A 23,409-nucleotide genomic window follows, 5' to 3' on the forward strand; every position below is an offset into this window, starting at 1 on the left:
GAGTGCTTTTGAGGCTTTCATTTTTGGGGTATTGTTTTCTGAGTCCCGACATCATCAAACTGTACTGTAACTGTTACAACTATTTCATTTAATAAAATATAGATGTGTCCACATCAGTACATGCTGGCAAACTTGTTCTTTGTAATGGCTATATAACATTTCATGATACGAACATACTAAAATTTATTTACCAGTTCCTGTATTGATAGGTATATGGGGTGTTTCTATGTTTTATTATAGCAAATAATGCTGTAATGTTTATTTGTTAGGAATTATGTCTATTCAAATGACTTACAAAATATAGTCTGCTTTAAAATAGAAGCTTCTTTGAGAATAAATTATGTTTTCTTTTTTGCCACTAAGTCCAATTTCTGGTGCTTATTTAAAAATCTTAGTATTATAAAATGCTTTGAAACAAGGAATAAAAACACTATACAGTAATTGTATGATGAATTTAATGTTTACATAATAAAGATAGGCATTTATTTTAATTACCCAAATTTTGGCAGATGTCCCTTCTGCTTTCCTCTATCAATTAGTTACATTACTGATGATGGTGTTTTTGAACAGAGCCTAATTTCGTCTCATCAGCATCACTGAAAAGAATTGAAATCACAATTACTATTTTTAGTTATTTCTCTTGTGTCATTTCTTACTTTTAGCATAAATGGAAGCTATTTAAATATTTAGATCATGAATTTGGATTTGTGTCTGCTGTTCTGTGTGTTATAAATTTGGAATTATGTTATATATTAATGATATATGTTAAGAAATGGTGAAAAACAAAAAATTGCCCCCCTTTCACCAAGTCTTGTTGGGGCCTGAGATATTCTAAGAGAATGTATTTTCAGATACAATAAATTGAAGTATACTTTCTGAAAATATTTTAACCATTTTAATGGAAGTGATCCTAAATCAGTATTAGTCACCTCTTAGAGTGTTTGTTTTCTATTCCTAGTAACCACAAACAGTGGCTTAAAACAGCACATTTATTCTCTGAATTTCCATGGGTCAGGAAGTTGAGCACAGGTTAAGTGGGTCCTCTGCTCAGGATCTCATCAGGTTGCCACCAAGAGGGTGACGAGCCTGGGGATCACCTTAGAATTCTGTCTTTCCGTGATTATCTTCTCAGACTGTATTATACTTCATTTAATAAATTTTGAAAATGCAGAGCAACATTATGAATATCCATTCCCATACTTTGCTATTATATAGAACACAATTCTCTATCAGCTCTTGAGTTACAGAAACAATCACTTCTGCCTTTGCCTTTTAATCTTTGCTTGAGGGTTGGTTTCCAGAGGCCTGAGTTTACTAGACAGTTTAGATAAAAAATTAATGGGAAGTGCTTATATAAGCATCTGCATGTTATGCACACTAATTTACTTGTTTCAGAGGGGAAGGGAGATGAGGGAAATGTGGCAATTTGGGGGTTGTAGTAAATAATTTTTAGGGGAAAATTAATGGTCTTGCAGAACATGTAGTGGCCCGGGACAAAGTCTCTTAGGCCCACAGACCAGACAATGATTTGTGACTAAAGTCTGTCCATGTGTCTTGACAAACTTCAGTCTCTTTTCCCACTTAACCTGTGCTCAGTATCTTTTCCTGAAATATGAGTTAAGTTAACAAAAACTCCAGGAAGGAACCAGAGGCAATTGTTTTCTTCTTTGGCAAGTCCGGACATGAGGCAGATAGGGGAAGTTTAGAGAACACCTTCAGCCTTTATTTTGGGAGACACAAAAGATTGAGAGATGGGGGAATGAGGGGATGTTAGAGAGACTTTGAATCGACTTCTTCAGGCCAGCATGTCAAAGTGCCATATTTTGGATATCGGTTTCTGGGCCCCAACAAGAGTCAATCATAAAATAAAATGGCTTTAAGCTCATTGCAAGGTAAGTAGGAAAATAAATGCCAATAAATAAGAATTTTATACCATGATGTGGTGTACAAGTATACACACAAGTGTGCAAGTGTTTCTTATTTACGATGAAACAAAAGGTGATGAAACTAAAATATCTAATTAAATATAATTATTAAAATTATTATATGTGATTATATTTAAAAATGATTAAAAGATGCATTTAGCGACTATTTCATTTCACTAAGTGAGTGATTTTTCATCCAGGGGTCATTTTGCAACCCCCCTCCCTGCCCAGAGATATTTGGCAATGTCTGGAGACATTTTTCCTTGTCATAACTGGGGGACGGGTTGCTTCTGGCAGCTAATGAGTAGAGGCCAGGGATGCTGCTAAATATCCTGCAATCCACGCAACAGCCCCCGTATCAAAGAATTATCTAGGCCAATAGTCAATAGTGTTGGGGTTTAGAAACTGTACTAAGTGAAAAAAGCAGTCTCTAAACCTATTTTATTCTATGTCATTTTTTTACACTTTTAATAAGCTATCTTTATTGTTCATTTTAAACAATTGTATTATTCAAATATTTAACATTTATTGAGACATTTCACCTGACTTAGTGTACAGACACCTTTTATAAATGCCCCACATGTGCTTAAGAAGAACGTACATTCTCTGTTCAGGATTCTAAATATACTAAATAAAAAATGTATCTAATGTTAGATCTAAATCCTTACTAACTTGTGTACGCTTGATCTAATAATGGTGTGTTGAAATCTCTCACTTTTATTGTTTTGTTCAATTTTTATTTGCAGTTGTATCATTAAAAAGTTTGGAACTATTTTGTTAGGTACATACAAATTCATGATTGTCCTATCTTGTTAAAGTGTTGTTCCCTTCATCATAATTTGGTGTGCTTTTTTATCCGTACTCATAATATTTCATCTAATGTCTTTTTGTCTGATAGTACTAGTGTCACAATTTTTTTTCAACTTTTATTTTAGATTCAGGTGGTACATGTGTAGGTTTGTTAACTGGTTATATTGCGTGATGATGAGGTTTGGGGTACGAATGATCCTGTCACCCAGGTACTGAGCATAGTACCCAACAGTTTTTCAATCCTTGTCCCCCTTCCTCCTGCCCCCCATAGTAGTCCCCAGTGTCGATTGTTGCCACATTTATGTCCATGCATACCCAATGTTTAACTCCCACTTAGAATATGCAACTTTTGGTTTTCTGTTCCTGCATTAAATCATGGAGGATAACGGCCTCCAGCTGCATCCATGTTGCTGCAAAGAACATGATTTTGTTCTTTTTTATAGTGGGGTGGTATTGCATAGTGTATATGTACCATATTTTTAAAAATCCAATCCACCATTGATGGGCACTTAAGTTGATTCCATGTCTGCTATTGTGAATAGCGTACAATAAACATGTGAGTGTATGTGTGTTTTTGGTAGAATAACACTACTGGGTATCTATCCTCTGGCTGGCTTTTGGAAAAGGGGTTCTGGTTTCTATGACCTGCCTTGTGGAAGATGGATTCTAGTTTCTATGACACCTTGGAGAGAATGGGAGTGAGAGACAGTACCATTTCTTAACATATATCATTAATATGTATTCTTTGGGTAGATACCCAGTAGTGGGATTGCTGGGTCAAATGGTAGTTCTGTTTTAAGTTCTTTAAGGAATCTCCTGACTGCTTTCCACAGTGGCTGAACTAATTTATATTCTCACCAACAGTGTATAAACGTTCCCTTTTCTCCACAGCCTCACTAGGAACTGGTTTTTTTTTTTTTTTTGATATTTTAATAATAGCTATTCAGACTGGCAGGAGATGGTATCTCATTGTGGTTTTTATTTGCATTTCTGTGATGATTAATATTGTTGAGCATTTTTTCATATGTTGCTGGCTGTTTATGTGTCTTTTTTTTTTTTGAGGTGTGTGTTCACATCTTTTGCCCGTTTTTTAATGGACAAAGCTATTTTAAATAATGATTCCAATACTGTGAAAGAAGCCCCAACTATATATTTTCCTAGCTATTTATATAATGTATCTATAAAGAATCAGACTTCCCCCCACTATCTATAAGATAAGAACATTATTTTATGTAAAAGTTAGTGCTGAATGGATCATTGGCCTGGAATGAAAGAGTCAATCTATGAAGTCGCCTCACTTCTTACTCACTTGTCTTTACCTGTTGTGTGTATCTGGTTGTCCTGTCTCCCCGTTCATCTAACATCTCTTTTAAAATTGTATGCCTTGTAGTCACTACTCTCCTACATAGTTATTATATGTATTCTTTGTGTTTACATGTAATGAGTCAAGATTATATATGTAATTTAATGTGCTGTGTATCTGAGTCTGCTGCTGCACATTTCTCTCTGATCCCATGCTATTTAGGAATAGTAACAATTTATTTTCCTGCATAATATCTACTATGTGCTTCACTAAATCTTCCTGTGTGGTAGATAAGATTAGGCTACTACAGGGGAGGAAAAAGTAATTTTCCCTCTAGCCTTCCAAGTTCTTGGTTGGGGCCTCTATGCCAAAAGACAGATTAACAAGAGAAAGACAAGTTTATTAATGTGTTTATCTCATGTGTATGTGGGAGATGCCCAGGAAAATGAGTAAATGTCAAAGAAGTGGCTTAGAGCTTGGGTTATATATCATCTTCAGCTAAAACAAAGAAAGAAGGGTGTGGGGGAGGCAAGTTATGGGAAGGTGACCAGGAAAAACACAAGAATAAGGTCTGTTGTGCAGACTTGGGTGAGTGAGTCTCTAGTGATTTAGTTGTCCTTCTGTTTCTGGTATAGAGAGGAAGTTACCCTTACAAATGGGAGATTTCCTTTATCAGTGTAAATTTCCCTTACAACAGGGTAACTTCTACTCTGTTTTCAGGGCTTCTCTGTATCTGCAGTTTCTCAAAATAATCAGCTCAAAATAATTCTTATGCAAAAGAGGCATATTTTGGGGTGGCATAATCTGGTCTCCTGCAATACCCATTGGGGAGATGAGGTAAGTGGTAAAAAGAGAGATGAAGTTAACCAGTTAGGAAGATACAGAAATGAGTGGCCAAATGGAGTCCTACAATTTGGAGAAAAACACAAAGAAGCAAACAAATACAAAAGAAAGAAACTAAGTCATGTTTAATTTATGATTGCCACATGCTAAAGGCAGGTGATATTTATTTGGAAACTCAAAAATGAAATCTTACATTTTATAGTAAGAATAAATATGATTATAGGGGTATTTGCTTTTTAAAATCCATTTTAAAATAATTCACTTATTTTCATGCATTTTTCTGTTCCATTATATTGAAGAACATTTTTGTTACCCCAAAAACTCAAGGTCAAACATATATTTATTATAAATTAAGGTGTGTTGAGCTGATATTAGGGAGATTTCACTAAAATATATTTTGACCTAATTTGAGGAGACTAATGTTCTTATGCTTAGCAAGATGTGAAACACAATTTGTATCTGAATGCATTTAGAAGACACAAATAAATAAGTCTCTATTCAGTCTTAGTAGCCTTAAAATTTTTAATTAATAAACTAAAACTTGATGTAAAATACCAGAGTACAGTCATAGGAATAAAATATAATTACACTTTCCTGGCCTCCTCCTGCCCTGAGCTCCACTGTGATTCTACTGTTTCCATATAACCTCTGTGTCTATGCATAAATGCTCATGGACTAAACTTTTTTTCATTACTGGAAACATTCTGGGAAACATTTCACTAGACAATGTATTGCGGTTATCTTTTTCAGTACATACAAATCCATTTCGCTGTTTTGTAGCTTTATGGTATTCCAAAATATGTATGTAATAAATTTAACCATTAATATAGATTATTTGGGTGAAAATGCCCAATTTTCTCAATATTGAGTCTTCCCTTCCAGTTTCTCTTTTAATTCAATCTTTTAAAATACACTTTAATATTTTATAATTTTATTCATATAGGGCCACCACATTTCTTATTAAGCTTATTCCTAGTAGTTTATTTTTATTTTTGTTTTTTGAGACAGGGTCTCACTCTGTCACCCAGGCTGGAGTACAGTGGCGCAATCTCGGCTCACTGCAACCTCTGCCTCCAAGACTCAAGTCATTCTCTCTCCTCAGCAGTGTTTTAGTATTTGTTTCTTTTCTTCATGTTTGGTGGGTGGGTGGATAGATAAATGTGTGGAGCAGAGGTTGTTTGTGCTGTTGTCAAAAACTCTTTTATTTTTTTCTAATTATATTTTCTAACTGGTTATTGGTGGTTATAGGGCAACTTTGGTTTTATAAGATTTTCTATCTCACATGTTACTGAGTTTTGTTAGTTTTACTGATTTTTCTATTGAGCTGCTAGAATTTTCTAGATAGAAAATTTGTGTCAGAATATTATGACAAAAACAGTTATAGCCATTTCCCAATGTTTATGCTTATATTATTTATATATTGAATCATATAGGACTTCCAGTCCAATGTTGATTAGTCGAGATGAGAATGGGTATGTTTGCCTTATTAATGGCTTTATGGCAATGCTTCTAATATTCTATCACCAAGAGTGATGTTTACCATAGATTTCTGGTAGACCTCTTTATTCAAATTAAGAATGCTACTAGGCATAGTGGCTCATGCCTATAATTCCAGCACTTTGAGAGGCCAAGGTGGGAAGATAGCTGGAGCCCAGGAGTTTGAGACCAGCCTGGACAACATAGGCAGACCCCAGTCTCTACAAAAATACAAAAATTAGCTGGTGTGGTGGTGTATGCCTGTGGTCCCAGCTACTTGGAAGGCTGAGGTGGGAAGATCACTTGGACCTGGGAGGTCGAGTCTGCAATGAGCCATGATTGCACCACTGCACTCCAGCCTTGGCAACAGAGTGAGACCACATTTCAAAAGAAACAAACAAACAAACAAACAAAAAAATGTTTTTCACCATTCCTATATTAGTTTTTCTTAAAGAACAAATATTGAAATTTATCAAATGCTTTTTATTATCTACTGAAAAGATAATAAGCTTTTCTGCTTTAACAGAGTAATGCAATTAAATCCATATATACATTTTAAAATAATGATTGCATTGTTATTTAACATAGACCCCATCTGTACAAAAATAAAAAGAAAAATAATTATCCAGGTGCAGTGGCACATGCCTGTAGTCCTAGCCACTCATGTGGCTAAGGTGGCAGGATCACTTGAGCCTAGGAGTTTGGGGCTAAAGTGAGCCAAGCTTGCAGCACTGCACTCCAACCTGGGTGACAGAGCAAGACCCTAACAACAAAACCCATCTATGCCTTTGTGGGGGTTAATTTTGACTACCCTTTCCAATTCTTCTTTGGTTATTTGGCATTTCATGTTATCTGTATCTCCTTATTTTGCAAATTTATATTTTCATAGAAAACTGTTTATTTCATCTAGGTTTTCAAATTAGTGTCATGTATAGAGAAAAACAAATGGATTCACTTTTGTTTTGATAAAGACATCTAAATTCCACTCAGAGTATAATGTTGCACCTCATTCTACTTAAAATACTTGAAGTTTGTGGGCTGAGTTTCCAGTGAACCTTCCATATGTCTATATGTGCCTATCAGTTCAAAAGCAATTGACACATTGGCATTCTTAGCTGTTCTGTACTTAGCTGTAAGCCAGGAAGTTGCATCTTTGAAAGTCAACTGTATTTGTGCATCACGGAATTGTTTGTGGCAAACCATATTATTTTTTGACCACTACTTATTCCAGGCATTGTTCTAGGTACTTTACATATGTAATCACTGACATTGCACAAATGATATAATACGTACTTAAGGCAATATTGTATTTCTTCAACGTTCCAGGACAAGTTTGTGTCAGAGTTGGGATTTGAACCAAATTTTGTGGCAGCAGGGGAAAATTCATGAGAGAGTACCATATCCCTGGCACAGATTTGAATTGTTATAGAACTAGAGCTTTTTAGGGATCTAGATATATCTGTATACTCCAAGAATATGCCTCCTGTGCCTATTTTAAGCCTGGCAGACATTTGGCCAGGAAATGTGTCTGATGTGTGACTTACTAGTCAGGTGCCTTTTTCTAGAGGTGAATGAAGGCATGTTTTAAATCTATTACTGAAAATACTTGAATGTAGAGCTTTAGAATTGTTGATAATCAAAGTGAGGTGCAGATGAGTAAAAAGTGAGGTACACTGAGGGTAATCTGTGCAGGAGTAAGAAATCATCATCCAGATTATTATGTGATTCTTCCAGTGCTCAAAAAGGAAACAGGTTATAGGAATCCCTGACAATATATCCTGGGATAAAATTTATTCTGGAGCTTTATACAGTAATTAGTTGAGCTCCAAAACAATTGAAAATGTTCATTTCAGTGGATTAATATAACAGTTTTTAATAAGGATTACTAAAAATTTTCTGTCTCGTTTAACAATAATGGGCTTATTTGTGAAGGAAGAAATATGGTTTGAACCCTTCAGGTTAGTAATAAGTACACAGAATCCATATGATTTTTATATGTCAGTGTGCATATTAATAATATCCATTTACTAAAGGAAGAGAAGGCAATTAACATAAAAATAGAGTAATTAAGCTTGTGTAGTTTGTTAAAGGATGTAAAGATTCCTACTTGCAAATCCTATTGAATACTATTGAAATCATTCTCAGTTGGCAAATTGAGTGGGTCTTATAACTTTTAAGAAGCCAGTGAATACTAGAAGGAAATAAATCACTAAACCTTTAAACAGATTTCTGTATGAGCTCCAGGTATTCTGGTTTATCCCTTTCAAACAGAGCTGTTCCTGGCCAGGCTTAGGTGCTGAGCCACTGCGAGAAGCAGGTGGCTGGAAATGCACAGTGACTCATGGTAGAAGAAGGGAAGAAAGGGAGAGTGTTTCCAGCCAACGCCAAACAGTGACTGTTGACAATTTCATATTGTCATCAGGGGAACCAAGGCTTATTCAGATGCCTATTTCAGAACCTAGGACAGTTCCATTGAAAAGGCGCAGGCGTTCGGGCTGGCTGACTAGATGGATCAGGCCTGGCTGCCTGATGGCTATATTCCTCCTTCCTCCCTCTCCACTTCCATCTCAACCCTTGAGGCTGCATATTGAATGTGAGTAGCTCTTCTGGCTTTGTGTGTTGCTGCAGCAGTCTGCCTACTGTGGCTGTTCTTGTTTCTGCTTTTGGTTTGGTGGTTCAAGGCTGCCTTTGATGATTATTTCGAACAAAGTATTCCCTAAATACTAATATTCCAGAAGTAGATGGGGACATAGACACACCTTATGATTTGTCCTTGGTTTTTATACCTTGAAGGAAGGCTCTCTTTTGATCGAAGTAATTTTAATGTTTATATGTTTAGAAATCCAAATTTGTACTTTGGAATTATGTGAGAAATTACTCATTTTTTCAGTCTATATAAGTCTCATTTATGTTGTAGTTCTAGTCTTACTCATTATTAAGTTTCACAAATCAGCCACTATTGTTTAAACATTTAAATCTAACTCTATTCCTCCTCTGGGAACTATATCATGTCACAGCTATTGGGTTAAATATGAGAAATTTCATGTGTTTCAGAAAATGAAATCATTTGGTTGGGGTCCAAGATTAACTTGTTAGATAAAAATATCCTGCAGTGAATTAAGTTTCAGCAAGTTTCCAATTTTGTTTCCTTCTCCTGCTATTTTTATTAACTCAAATAAATTAAATTTTCTTCCAAAAAATAATACCCACCCGAGATCCTTCTTTTAGGATGTCTATTCAAGTCATCTTCTGTTCCCAAAATATACACTATGTAGTTTTAGGATCTTTATCCATGTGTAGGAGCAAAATGATGTGGCACTAATATCAGATTTGAAGGGGTGTTACCTAGGAAACAAATCAAATTCTAAGACTGTCTTTTCTGTAATCTTTCATGATTGGAGATAAACCCTTGAAATTTAACTTCCCAAGAATATGCCTTTTTGTGAGCATGATGCGCACAGGAACAATGAAAGGGATCAATTAAACAAATATATTTGTTGGGATGTTCATTATTTCTTTTCTGCTTTTTGCCCTTTAAACAACTTGAGTTCTGTTTGCACTTTAACAAATATAACTACTTTGGGCATGTTCATGGGGGTAGGAAGAATTTAATTATGGAATATTTAGGTTTTTAAAAGTTTTGGATATTTGGAAGTCAATAAAATGTAGGGAATTCATATATTGTAGACCACCTAAGTTCCCCAAATAATGTTTTATTATAGGTTTTCTAAAAAAAAATCTGGATGGTTTTTTTTTATAGGAACACTATATTTTAGGCATCATTTGGTGGGAAACCCTATTGTAAAACTCAAACTATATTTTCTCTAGTTTATATTCCAAATACCTAAAAAAAAAAACAGAGCAGCAGTCCCCAAGTTTTTTGTTTTTGTTTTTGTTTTTTTTTTGAGACATAGCCTCACTCCATCACCCAGGCTGGAGTGCAGTGGTGTGATCTCGCCTCACTGAAACCTCCGCCTCCTGGGTTCAAGCTATTCTCCTGCCTCAGCCTCCCAAGTAGCTGGGACTACAAGCGTGCACCACCATGCCCAGCTAGTTTTTTTTGTATTTTTAGTGAGACGGGGTTTCACCATGTTGGCCAGGATGGTCTCAAACTCTTGACCTCATGATCTGCCCACCTCGGCCTCCCAAAGTGCTGGGATTACAGGCGTGAGCCACCAAGCCTGGCTAGCAGTCCCCAAGTTTTAAGGAAGCACTGAACTCCATGACAGGTTTAGTGCACAGTGAACATCTTTCACACGAGAAGATCAGAAGATAGCCACCGCACCTTTGATCCCCGGTTCTCCACTGGCTTGCAGACATTATCCAGTTCCCAGAAATTCCTATGGCCAGCAGGGATGCCAATGCTCACCCATCTGTTTTTGGTCACTGAAAGCCAAAAACAAAGTGTTTGTTTGTTTGTTTGTTTGTTTTTGTTTTTGTTTTTGTTTTTTTTTGAGAGGAGTCTCACTGTATTTCCCAGGCTGGAATGCAATGGTGCAATCTCGGCTCACTGCAACCTCTGCCTCCCAGGTTCATGTGATTCTCCTGCCTCAGCCTCCCGAGTAGCTGAGATTACAGGCGTGCATCACCATGCCTGGCTAATTTTTGTATTTTTAGTAGAGACGGGGTTTCATCATGTTGGCCAGGTTGGTCTCAAACTCCTGATCTTGTGATCTGCCTGCCTCAGCCTCCCAAAGTGCTGCGATTACAGGCGTGAGCCACTGTGCCTGGCCAGTGGAGATACTTTTAATGTAAAACAAAATTGTGTGTTCTCAAGTTCTGTCACAGTTTTGGCATGCCCAAGTTACTGATCTGATTACTCAGTATAGTACATCTTTTCCCCTATTTTCACAGTACTTAACTGTTGTATAGGCAGAGTAATGGCCCTGCAGAGGTGTTCATGTCCTAATCCCAGAACCAGTAAATATGTTACCTCATATGCCAAAGGGAATCTGCAGACATGATTAAGCTAAGGATCTTCAGATGGGGAGATAGATTTTCCTGGATCATCTGGATGGACTCCATGTCATCCTGAGGGTCCTTATAAGAGGGAGTCAGTAGGGTCAGTGTCTGAGAAAGATGGAAGCAGAGGTGAGAGAGGGAGAGGGAAATGATTTGAAGATGCTATGCTGCTGGCTTTGCTAATGAAGGAAGGCACCATGACCTGAGGAATGTGGGTGGCCTCTAGAAGCTGAAAAAGGCAATGGAATAGGTTCTCTCCTACAGACTCTAGACGAAACACAGTGCCACTGACACCTTGACCTTGGCCCAGTGAAACCCATTTTGGACTTCTGGCCTTCAGAAGTGTAAGAAAATAAATTAACACTGCTTTAAGCGCCTAAATTTGTGATAATCTGCTATAGCAGCAAGAAGAAACTAACGCAATAAAAATTTTGTTTTTTTTCAAATGAAAGCTACTTTTCTCTGATTATAATAATAAGCTCAGATTTTTAAAAATATTTACTCTTCAGAAAAACTATAAAGGGAGGAAGGAAACCATCATTTGGGGAACACAGCAGATCTATTGACAACTAATCTGTGTTGTTACCTTTTGACCCTCAAGCTCCTCCCCTCCTCTGCTTTCCCACTGCTGAAGTCTATGTATGCAGTATGACAGAGTATGTTTAAATGAAACTATGGAACTAGGCTGTTTATTTTTCTAACTTTCCTCCTTAACTGTGAACTCTTAGAGCTCGGTTTTCTTTGGTTTCATTCCTGACTTTTATCAAAATTCCTAACACACAGTAGATCAATAATTGGTTAACTTGTCGATTAGTTGATTAATGGATTGAATGCTATTAAAACAGAGCACTCTATATAAATACCCATTAAGTAACAAATGTAATGTTTAGTGAATATTTGTTGAGTGTCTACCATATGTCAGACTAAATTCTAGGAACTTTATAAGAAAAAATAAACTTTCTGCTCCTGAAGTGCTTACATCTGGAGGGTATACACTGACAATAAACAAATAGACAAATACTAATAAATTTATAGTCTCTCCAGCAGTAATCTGTGTTTTGAAGAAAAATCAAGAGCATGCAGAATGAAGAGTGTTAGGTTGAGGTTTTTTATATAGGGAGGCTGGGAAGGCCTCTCCAATAGCGTAACATTTGAGTGGAACTGGAAGAAAATGAGGTACTGAGCAATACCATTTTCTCAGCCAAGAGCAAGATCCTTGAGCCAGGAGGATGCTTTGCAGGTTCAATGACATATAAAGAGATGCTTGTGGAGATAAGCCTTGCAAACGAGGGGAAGACTGCTGGTAGCAAGGTCAGAGAAGTACATTGGGCTGGTCATTAGGGCCATGCATAGGGATTTGTCTTTTACCCTGAGTATGAAGGGAAGCTTCGGGAGGCAGTGTATCTGATAGTTTAAAAGTATCACCCGGTTTGCTACATGGAAATTAGACTATAGGCAGCAAGGGTGGAAGCAGAGAGAATGGGAGTCCAGGCAACTTGTGATGGCATCTTAAATGTCAGTTGCCACAGCAGAGGTGCCGAGAAGTCACCAAACAGTGGATATACATCTTTAGAAGTGCCAATAGGATTTTCTCATGGGTTGGATGTGAGATATAGGGTATGAATCTGGTGTTCTGACAAGGGGTCCAGGCTGAAGATAGAAATTTTAGAAAGGTCAGTGGGTGGAAGGTAACTCAATCCAGGAAGCTTGATGAGCTCACCTAAGGAAGAGGGCTGGGCCCAGGGCACCCCAGTGTTTTGAGGTAGAGAAAATGAGACTGAGAGAGATTCACCCATGAGGGGGAAGAGAAGCAGGAGAGGAGTTCCCCAAGTTTATGAAGAAAGTGTTTTGAGGAGCAGGGAGAGATTAGCATATCAAATATGCAAATGAGATGACAAAGATGGGCTGGATCATGGGAATTGACTTCATGGGAGTCACTGGTGACCTTGTATGAGTAGTCTGGTGGAATGATGGAGAAAAAACGACCTGATGGCAGTAGGTCCAAAGAGAAATAGTAGACAGGAAGAGGAGTCAGTGAATGTGGGTAAACCTTTCTAAAGACAAACAAAGAAATGAGCAGGAGCTAGTGGGGAATGTGGGACCAAAGAAAGGCTTTTGAATTTTTTATATCTGTGATATTACAGAGTATTGAATGCAGCTAGCAATGATCACATAGAGAGGGGGAAATTGAGGATGCATAGATGAGAGACAGTTGCTAAAGTCGTGAGCTTGAGTGGCCAAGAGGAGGGGTGGGTCCAGCAGGCAGGTGGAAAGCTGGATCTTGTAAGTAGTGAATGGACAGCTCACATGCATTCACAACAATTTACAGGGATATATATGTTTTAATAGAGAATTTTTTTCCCACTTCTTGATGTGAGAGGTGTTTCAAGAAATGTGATTTTGATCCAAAAATTTAAAAAAATAGAAATTTCTGGGTAATTTCATGGTTTAGCAGGAACAAGACGACAGAATATTTTTTAAAGTCTGGGCTTTCATAGAAAACCCACATATATAGGCAACTATCCAATTGAGTGGTAGTTATTATATCTGGTTTGTTTAACTCATTTGTTAGAATGTTATGCTGAGGCCATTGTTCAAATCTCTAGCCTAATGTCATTCTGTCGCCTCTAAACAGATAAATAGTTGCTCTACAACTGTGGACCACACCACTAAAGTGAACCATATAAATAAAGGCCAGGGTGCATGAGCCGCATGGTGCTAATTTATTGCAGAGCCCTCGTCACTACTGGGGAAAAAAAATAGTTCCAATGACTGTGTGTCAGCATCATCTCATATAAAAGATGGCCCTTTGGGACAAAAGTCTATATGTATTATGGAACTGATATTGTCCATGTGATGAACCAGTCTTTTCAAAGATGAGCTCCAATTGAACTAAATCATTTAAAGCGCAAGCCTTCAAGCTTCCTGGACATTTGCATTGCAAACCACTGGTTTCATCACAGCGATTTGGTGGCTGGTTTTGTCATTAAGATCTTTCAGGGGAGTGTGCCCTTTGAACTTATCTTGAAGAGTCAACTTTTTGTCTTAGAAAATTATTTCACAGGATTTATGAGAGACTGGCTAAATAATCCACACGTTGCAGATGACAATAATAAGATGGTTGAGTTACTTGCCCAGAGCCCATAAATAGCGCCAATAGAATGGGTCTCTGAGTATTGATCAGACTTGGTCAAGATGTTCCTTTGGGGTGGTAAACAGGCTTCCCTTTCCCCTTCCTCCTCCTGGCTTCGTCATTCCTAGCTTGCCACCCTCCCCATACAGCTCTTTCTCCTCCTTCCTTCTTCCTCCTATATGTCCCTCTTGCACCTTTCCTACCTCCCTCCCTCCTTGCCTATAACCCCTTTTTAAATGACAGGAACCATGACATATAACACACATATCAGCGGAAATGGTCTCAATAAGTTGCATGTTACACAAACCAAAGCATCTGATAGAACACCTAATATCTTTGCAGAACTTAACTCTTTATAAGGCATTTTATTTTGCAGAAATTCTTCTTTAAAATGTTCAACAATCCTATGAGATAGATGTTTACTCTTATTAGATTACAATTTCATTAATTCAGCCTCAGAGAGGACAAGGAAACAAGGAGCTTACTCAGAGTTGCAAGCACAGAAAGCAAGTTGTAATGCTGATAATGAAATCCAGGTTGCATGATTCCAAGACTCTTACACTAATGCTGCATAATCTCTGCTCCCGCTTGTCTCCTTGTTATTGAAGGCAAACAGGCACAATTGTGAGGCTGATATAGCCTGACAAGCCACCCGTGTCTGCTACTTGCCCTTTCTCTGCTTTTACAGGGTGGTGAAAACTTTCCCTGTGCTCCACTTCCACCCTTACCAGCCAAAGGAAGGACCAGAACTGGCCAGGCAGGCATGTGACCCAGTAATGAGTGATTATACAAGGAAATGCACTTCCATGAACACTTTCTGGCCCCAGGAAACCTCAAACTTCCCTACGTTTAGATAAATGGTCTAAAGTTTACCACGTCTGACATCATTCTCATTGGTATCTATTTTTATTGTATTTTATTAATTTATTTAGAGCCAGGGTCTTGCTCTGTTCCTCAGGCTGGCATACAGTGGTGCAATCATAGCTCGTTGCAGCCTTGAACTCCTGGGTTCAAGGGATCCTCTCATCTCAGCCCCCTCAGTAGCTGGGACTACAGGCATGTGCCACCACACCTGGCCCTTCATTGGTGTTTAATCATGACTCATAGCAATATCACTGTCGACTTATAGCTGGGAACAGCACATTTCTATTTCTTTTTCAGATGCTGCTGTTGAAAATGAAGCTGTTTTTAATTCATCGTGTCTGGGAAATTCACACTGTTTATTAAGAGAGGAATGATGGGGAGATACCTTACTCCTCATGCAATATATTGCTACTGAATTTGTTCCCATTTCCATCTCCATTCCAAAATTCATAAAGCATTTGTATCGGGTTACAGCAATTATTTTGTCACCCGTACTGTATGTTGCTCACTGTAATTAGGTGTATAGTCAAATAACATGGCTTTGTGCACTATGTAATTAATCATGCCCGGTTGTGTGCATTTCCTAGCATCCAACATTTCAGAGTTGACACTAGCCAAACCTCCTGTCTGATTTCTTTCCCTAAGTATTACATAATTCAAAGGGCATTTGCAGAAAAGGTGGCAGTCAGCTGAAAATGTGGACAATAGACTTAATAGCTTATTGGAGTGGTTTTGCAATTCTGAAATAATATTTTATTATGAAAATATTTCATACATTTCAAAGATACAGAGCATGTCACAATAAACATATATATGCCCCGGTTAAACACACTGAGCTTTTTATTTGTTACAAGTATTGCTTTTTAAAGCAATATAATTTATAGATGCAGATGAAGGTCCCCATCCCGTTCCACTCTTCTGCAAAAATAACTGGCAACCTGAGGGTGTGTATTTTTTAATTACCTACCTTCTATTATTTATATATATATGTATATATATATTCATGCAACATGTACTGTATCACTTAGGGTATTTATCAGAATGTGTATAAGTAGTTTCTTACTGTATCCTTTTGCAACATGCTTTTTCTTCCTCATTCAACATTGGGTGTTAAAGGTTTATCTAAGTTGATACATGTAGGTCTATTTTTTTAACTATTCTAGTTCATTGTATAAATATACGGCAGTTTATTCAGTCATTTCTTAATTAACATTGCTTCCAGTTTCTTTTAATATAAACAAAATTCCAGTGAACACTCTTGCACATCCTCCTTGTACGCATATATGAGAGCTTCCCTAGGGCCAGAGTTCCCAAACATTTTCTGTAAAGGGCCAAATAGTAAATACATTCAGCTTTTCAGGCTGGAATGGCCTCTGTCACAACTATTGAACCCTGCTGTTATAACATGAAAATTACCATAGAAAATACATAAACTAGTGGCCATGGCTGTGTGTCCATGAAACTAGTTGCTGACATTTGAATTTCACATCATTTTCCCATCATTATTATTCTTTTGATTATTTTTCTCAGCTGTTTAAAATGTTTGTGTAAAAAAATTCCTACCTCATAAGCCATACAAAACCCGTCAATGGTCTTGATTTGTCCTATGGCCCATAATTTGCTGACCCTTGTTTTATGGCATATGCCTAGCAGTGGCATTACCATACCAAATGGAATGTGAAACTCCATCTTAAACTAGATAGAGCCAGATTACTCTCCAAAATGAATGTAATAATGTATCTTTCTCTTCCTGCCCAATCTGATGTGTGTGAAAACATGTCACATTTTTTGTTTTGCATTTTGTTTTATTTTAGAAAGGGGATCTTGCTAGTTGTCCAGGCTAGCTTTGAACTCCTGGGCTCAAACGATCCTCATGTCTCGATCTTCCTGTGTCCAGGATTACAGGTGTGTACCTCCATGTCCAACTCTCATTTTTGTTTTAATCGGTATTTTTCTACAAACTAGCACTTTCATCTTTCCATTCATTCAGACTTAGTGGAGAATATTCCATATGTTCATTAGCCACTTGCTTTCACTCTTCTATTGATTTACCTATCTGTTTTTTCAAGTTTTCTGCTGGATTGTTTGCTAAATTTTCTTACTAATTTGTAGGGTTCTTTATAAAATCTGGATACTAATCTTTTTACAAATACAAATATTACATTGTATATGTTTTAGGTTTGTGACGTGTTTGTTATACAGGAATAATTTATGTCAAAATTCATAATAGGTTGTGCTTTTTGTAAAAGAAATTTACAGATTAGATTACTTGCTATAAAAACATTGATACCTATTTAAAAGATCACCACTACTGCTATAACTCCAACTCCAAAATTGAGAAGGAGCTGACACTCATCTCAGGCAAGCCCGTCTTCTGATTTTTCCCAGGTGTTTTCCCTCCAGCCCTCATCTCCTTGTGTTGCTCCTTCCGTTCATTCTTCCACCTCTTTCTCTTGTGTGTCTTATTAAATCCTGCTCCTAGGTCCCCACTTAGATGCAAATGCCTGATACCTGCTTAGAGATTTTTCCAGACAAAGAGATCAGTGTCTTAATCTAAAGAGATAATTGACTGATATAAAATTTGAGGCATCAGTCAGCAAGATAAGGTAACTTTCTTGGTTCCCTGAAATCAAGCCAGATAGACCTGCTTTACCATTTCAATATAAATGAGATTATTCCTTCAACACAACATATTATTGATTCAACATATGGTTTTTATATTCTATTAGGGAAATTTGAGATAATAAGAAAATGTAAGTGTTCCAAAAATGTATTACATGTTTTGCTAGCTTTTCTCCAGTGACAAGAGATGGAAAATACATTTGCTCTGTGTGGATCTTGCACCATGTCGAGTGACATAAATAAGATAATCTCTTTCATCCTATAATTCTTAAAACAATGTTCAGAGATATTCTTTCCCAAATGCTTTAAATTATGGTCTTTCAAAAGACAAGTACAGTATTTGTAAAGGGAAGAAGGATTTTGTAGCTTGTGTGGGAAGAGGGTTGTAATCAATGATAAAAAAGCTGAAGAACCACAATCTTGCAGGCAGCAAAGGGCAATTTACTTGGCTAGATCATGTCTCCAATAGTTGAGCTCTTATCTAATTGTACTAAAATGCTATAATGCCTGTTATGTTTATTTGGAGTATTACAAATAATTTTAGGAGGAGGGAGAAGTGAAAAGGTGGAGCACAGAGGATTTTTAGGGCAGTGAAACTACTCTATATATTATAATGGTGGATACTTGTCATTATACATTTGTCTAAACCAATCTAATGTACATGGGGTGAACCCTTATGTAAACTATGGGCTCTGTGTGATAATGTTGTATCGATATAGGTTTATCAGTTGTAACAAATGTACCACTCTGGTGAAGGCTGTTAGTAGTGGGGGAGGTTATGTGTGTGTGGGGGGTGGTATATAGAAAACCTCTGTACCTTCTGCTCAATTTTTGCTGTAAACCTAAAATGGCTCTTATGAAAAAAGATGATGAGAAGAAAAGACTGCATTAAAAATAATAAAAGTATATTCATTTAACACATGCATTTGAGCAAAGATAAAATAAATGAATAAACAATTCTGCATGCCTTATGACCAGGTGTAAATTTTGGTTGGGTCCTCAGAACCTTGTCTGCGGTACTGCAGTCAGCATGACAGCTGCAGCAGGTGCCCTATGTCTCCTCATTGCCAGCCAACTAGCATTGTGGGAAAGTTAGCTTTCTTGGCCAGAACTAAATGATAATCACGGAGCAGCAAGTCACTTTCCAGACTTTATTTATAACAGCAAATTAGCAGCAAGACAGCCAATGACCACAGTGGTTGCTGAATTAGTTTGCCTGGACTGAACTGGGCTTCCCATGGGTCTTGATAGCAAAGAGCACTGGGAAGTTGAATGTGGAATTACAAAACAAGACATTTCTCACTTCACAAGTCCTCTCCTCTCCCTACCCTTTCCTTAGGAATGTTTTAACCCCCACTTCTGGCCTTTGCTTCATAATAAATATCTCAGAAAATTATTCTATGAATTCTTTTTGAAACTGTTTCTGCCTTTGTTTTGTTGTTGTTGTTTTTGTTGTTTGTTTGCTTGTTTGTTTTGAAACATAGCCATAAGGAATGTTTTTCATTGCTCTCTTTCCTGCCCTGAATGAGGAATAGACACTTGGGGTAGAGAACGAAGAACATTTCTCAGTTCTACTGGAAGTTGGCTGCAGCATATCAAATGCATGAATAAAGCATTTGGTTCTTAAGATAGAGTTATATCTTCACTGACTCCTTTACTCTCTATAGAGTAGCGCCAACTGGTGTTTCCAAATGGCAAGTTAGTAGTCCTTAGATAGGATAATGCTGGTGAAAGCATCAACTGCAGCTTAAACCCTAGCAAAACGTGTGTGTGTGTGTGTGTGTGTGTGTGTGTATGTGTGTGTGTGTGTGGAGAGAGAGAGAGAGCGAGCGAGCATATCCTGACCTGTTGCCAGGGTTTACAGGACAGCCTAGTGTCTTGAGACAGAAATCTTACCTAAAGATTCTAAAAGTTAGCTTTAAATCAAAGTCTATTTGTCAGAAGCAAGAGTGGATGGGAAAGAATACCGCCTGGCAGCTTAAGAGTCCTAGTTGAAAACTACAGATGATCAAATAAATACCTGCTATTCCCACTTTGATCTGGAAAGTTCTGATTTCCCCCTGGTAGCCCATAGAGATCAAGGACCCTCAAAAATCCACAATTGAAGGCACTCTGATTTCCCTTCCTCCACAGAGAGCAGATTTTCTACCACTTTATCTATGCATTGATGACCTTTCCTTAGCCCTTGATGGTAACTGCTTTTGCTTCTAGGAATTCCTTGCTCAAATTCCACAAAACAACTCTATTTTTATTCTCTCCCTCCTCCAAACAGACCTTTTTCTGCATTCTCTTCTCTCTTTCCTAAATCTGCACTCAACCTTGTTCATCATGAATGCCTCCAGACTGGATAATACACCTCAAGTTTGTATTATTTTAATACCATTTCCAAACACTATCCCTGCCTCCAGTTCTTTCATAGTGGCACAGCGTTGCATTTTTCTTCTCAAATTATTTCCTCAGCTCTGCCAGCACCCTTTTCCTCTCATTCTGTTTTTTTTATTAATTCATTTTTCTCATGATTTTACAGGGCTTATGTTTCTTTATATTTCCATCAGAGTTTGAGTCAAATGTTCTTTTGTGTACTTGAATAAATCTTCCACTGGTTATTTACATCATCTGCCTCCTCCATCGCAAATTTACTGTTTCCAGTTATAAGCATTTTTGTTTAGACCCCACATTTGTGTTCTGTTTTGTGTACTTTGAATTGGGACTGTTCTGCTTGTCTTCCCAGTAGGTAGCAATGACAGAATCTTTTTATTTCATCTGACCTCTCTTTGAATCTTGCTCTTGGAACCCTAGATGGAGGGCTGGGCATTACTGCTATTAGACTATATTCAGTCCCTCGGTTCCTAATGGCACAAGGAAGGGAGTGTGGGGCTTTGAGCTGGAAACAGAGAAATCCACCTTCTTGACATTTCCTTCCCGAACTGATGAAACTCGTGCACCAGGGGTATTATGTGTCAGGCCAAGGCATGCCATTTCTAATGGAAAAGCATCTCTCATATTTTCACCCACTTAGGGCTGACCTGTCCACTTTGCAGAGAAAGTGGGTAAGGGTGAAATCTAGAGGCTTTCCAGACTTCTGTTTGTTGACACCGTGTGGAATTTTCTATACATAGTTCTCTTTGATGCACTGCTGCCAGTTGGTCTCTAGATACCATTTTATGCTGTTCCTCGCCCCAAGCATCACCTGCAGACTTCTCTCTCTCTCTCTCTCTCAGGAAGTCCAGCCAATAAAGAAGAGTATTACATGGCTCCACACTTTTCCTTTAGTGCCATAATCACTGCTCCTCCATGGGGTGTTCATTCACTGTTGCTGTATAACAAATTACTGCAATTTTAGTGGCTTAAAGCAACACACATTATTTTACAGTTTCTGTGGCTCATGTTTGAGCACAGCTTAGCTAGGTCCTCTGCTCAAGACCTCACATGCCTGCAATGCTGGTGTCAGCCAGGGCTACAGTCACCTGTAGCCAGACTGGAGAAAGATCTTCCTCCAAGTTCCCTCAGGCCGTTGGGAGAAGTCATCTCCTTGAGGTCGTAGAACCAAAGTCCTTGGTTTCTCACTAGCTGTCAGATGGAGACTGTCTTCAGGTCCTAGATGATTCCCACGGTTTCAAGAAATGTGGCTTATTCCATAGGCAGTTCACAACATGATAGCTCACTTCTTGAAGGCCAGCAGGATAATTTCTCATTCTAGTGTTTTAAGGCGAAGTCTTATATTATGTAATATAATAATGCGAATAGCATCCCAGCAACTTTTCCATTGTCTATTGGTTAGAAGCATCCACACTCAAGGGGAAGGGATTCTACAAGAATGGATTCATTGCAGGTCACCTTGGGGTATGAAGAATGAAACTGGCCATTTCTTCTTAGCAGAGCCTCTCAGAATTTATTGCCTCTCTTCTTGTACCACAAACACCTTCTAAAGACTCTGCAACCCTCTGAATAGGGAACATCAAGTTCTAGATGCAGTACATTTCCACAATCAAGAAAATAATTGTAAAGGTATCTGATTTTACAGTCCATAAGCATTAACGTCAATTTGGTTGGTTTAATTATCAAGTGTCAGATTCCATCCTAAGAAATCACTTAGAAACACAGTACTAATGTCTAGGACAGTATTTCTCAACCTCAACATTATTGACATTTGAATCTGTATAATTCTTTGTGGTGGAGCACTACCCTGCGCATTGTAGGATGTTTAGTAACACCCCTGGCCTCTGCACACCACATACCAGTAGCACTCCTCACCTTTCTGGTTGTATCAACTAAAAATGTCTCCAGACACTGGAAAGTGTCGCTTGGTAAGTGGGGGTGCATAATCAACCTCAATTGAGATCCACTAAGCCAGGGTCTTTCCCCAGGTTTCCATTAAGGAGACAGTGGGCGTCTCTTGATTGCAGTAAAATCCATGCAGTGTAATTTCATGGAAACATAATTAGGGTGAAATTGGTATGAACACAGCTGTGAGTCTCCCACTGCATTACAACTGATGATCTAAGGCAATTGGAAATTTAGAACTGGTTTCAGGCAGCCTACTAGGGTTTAAAGGGTTCCAGTCCTAATTTGGACCATAATTTCTGTATGCTCAGGTCACCTCATCTGTAAAATATGTATATTTTACACATTTCTATAAAATAATGGTAGAATAATGGTATTGTAGCACCAGAAGCCATACTTTTATTTGATTTGAAAAGTTCTCTATGTTTATTGAAATTCTCCACCGCCGCCCCCTCCCCCCACACCAACAATGTACCTAGTAGTTGAAATATCTATTTACCATTGACAGTCTCAGGACATTTAACTAAAAAAGAATGAAGTTTTGCAACTTATATAATTAAACATTAATAAAAACTCAGATGAAAGATACAGTTATTTTAATGAATCTGTACACAAGATCCATTTCCAAAGGTTTATGTCCCCATTTTTACACTTTAAGACTTTATTTTTTAGCCCTTCCAATAATAAAATGTACACAACTGGAAATGAAAGTCCTCAGACACATGTTTGGCAATCTATTAGAAATTGCAATTTGTATAGATGACCCCATAAATCTAAAGTACTGGCACTCATGAAAGATTATTTCCATTTATTTTGTTTCATTATGTAATATTTTTCTCTAAGCCAAGGTAGTATTAGGTCCTGCCAGTGCTATACTCATAACCTGATGATTTCATTTATTTTGTAAACATCTGCAGTCTTAGACCTACCTATTTAAGTCATTCTGCTATTGGCAGCGTTAACTGAAATATATTCTGCAACCAAGGTCTTAAAATAGAGACCTATTAATAATCTATTGCTACAATATAAACTGGCTAAAAACATGAATGTCTCTTTACATTCTAGGCTTTAAATAAAAAGTAAAATTAAGGATACATCTTAATGTGCCATTTGGATCATTAACACATTTGTGTAGAAATTAAGTTTTTACATTTTGAAAATTGTTGCTGAGCCAGTTACTTTTGGAA

At 37.6% G+C, this 23,409-nt stretch overlaps 1 protein-coding gene across 4 annotated transcripts in view, besides 1 other annotated feature; it reads left to right on the plus strand.

Moving 5' to 3' along the window:
- FRMPD4 (FERM and PDZ domain containing 4) overlaps positions 1-23,409 on the plus strand; it is a 902,085-nt gene that overhangs the window by 234,187 nt on the left and 644,489 nt on the right. For 2 of the 4 annotated variants that reach the window (NM_001368402.3, NM_001368400.3), the window contains exon 1: positions 8,916-8,950. The exons of the other annotated variants lie outside the window; for them this stretch is intronic. The gene's annotated coding sequence lies outside the window, so the exon portion shown is untranslated. Of the gene's footprint in view, positions 1-8,915; positions 8,951-23,409 lie in introns of those variants that run through there. 4 annotated transcript variants of the gene reach the window in all.
- Positions 8,752-8,952: a silencer, noted in NCBI's record as "peak7357 fragment used in MPRA reporter construct". NCBI's record gives its function as "represses an SCP1 promoter by STARR-seq MPRAs in K562 erythroleukemia cells {active_cell/tissue: K562}" and the evidence as "EXISTENCE:reporter gene assay evidence [ECO:0000049][PMID:32103011]".

The sequence above is a fragment of the Homo sapiens genome, chromosome X, assembly GCF_000001405.40.
Source record: "Homo sapiens chromosome X, GRCh38.p14 Primary Assembly".
In the NCBI taxonomy this organism is placed as follows: Eukaryota; Metazoa; Chordata; class Mammalia; order Primates; family Hominidae; genus Homo; species Homo sapiens.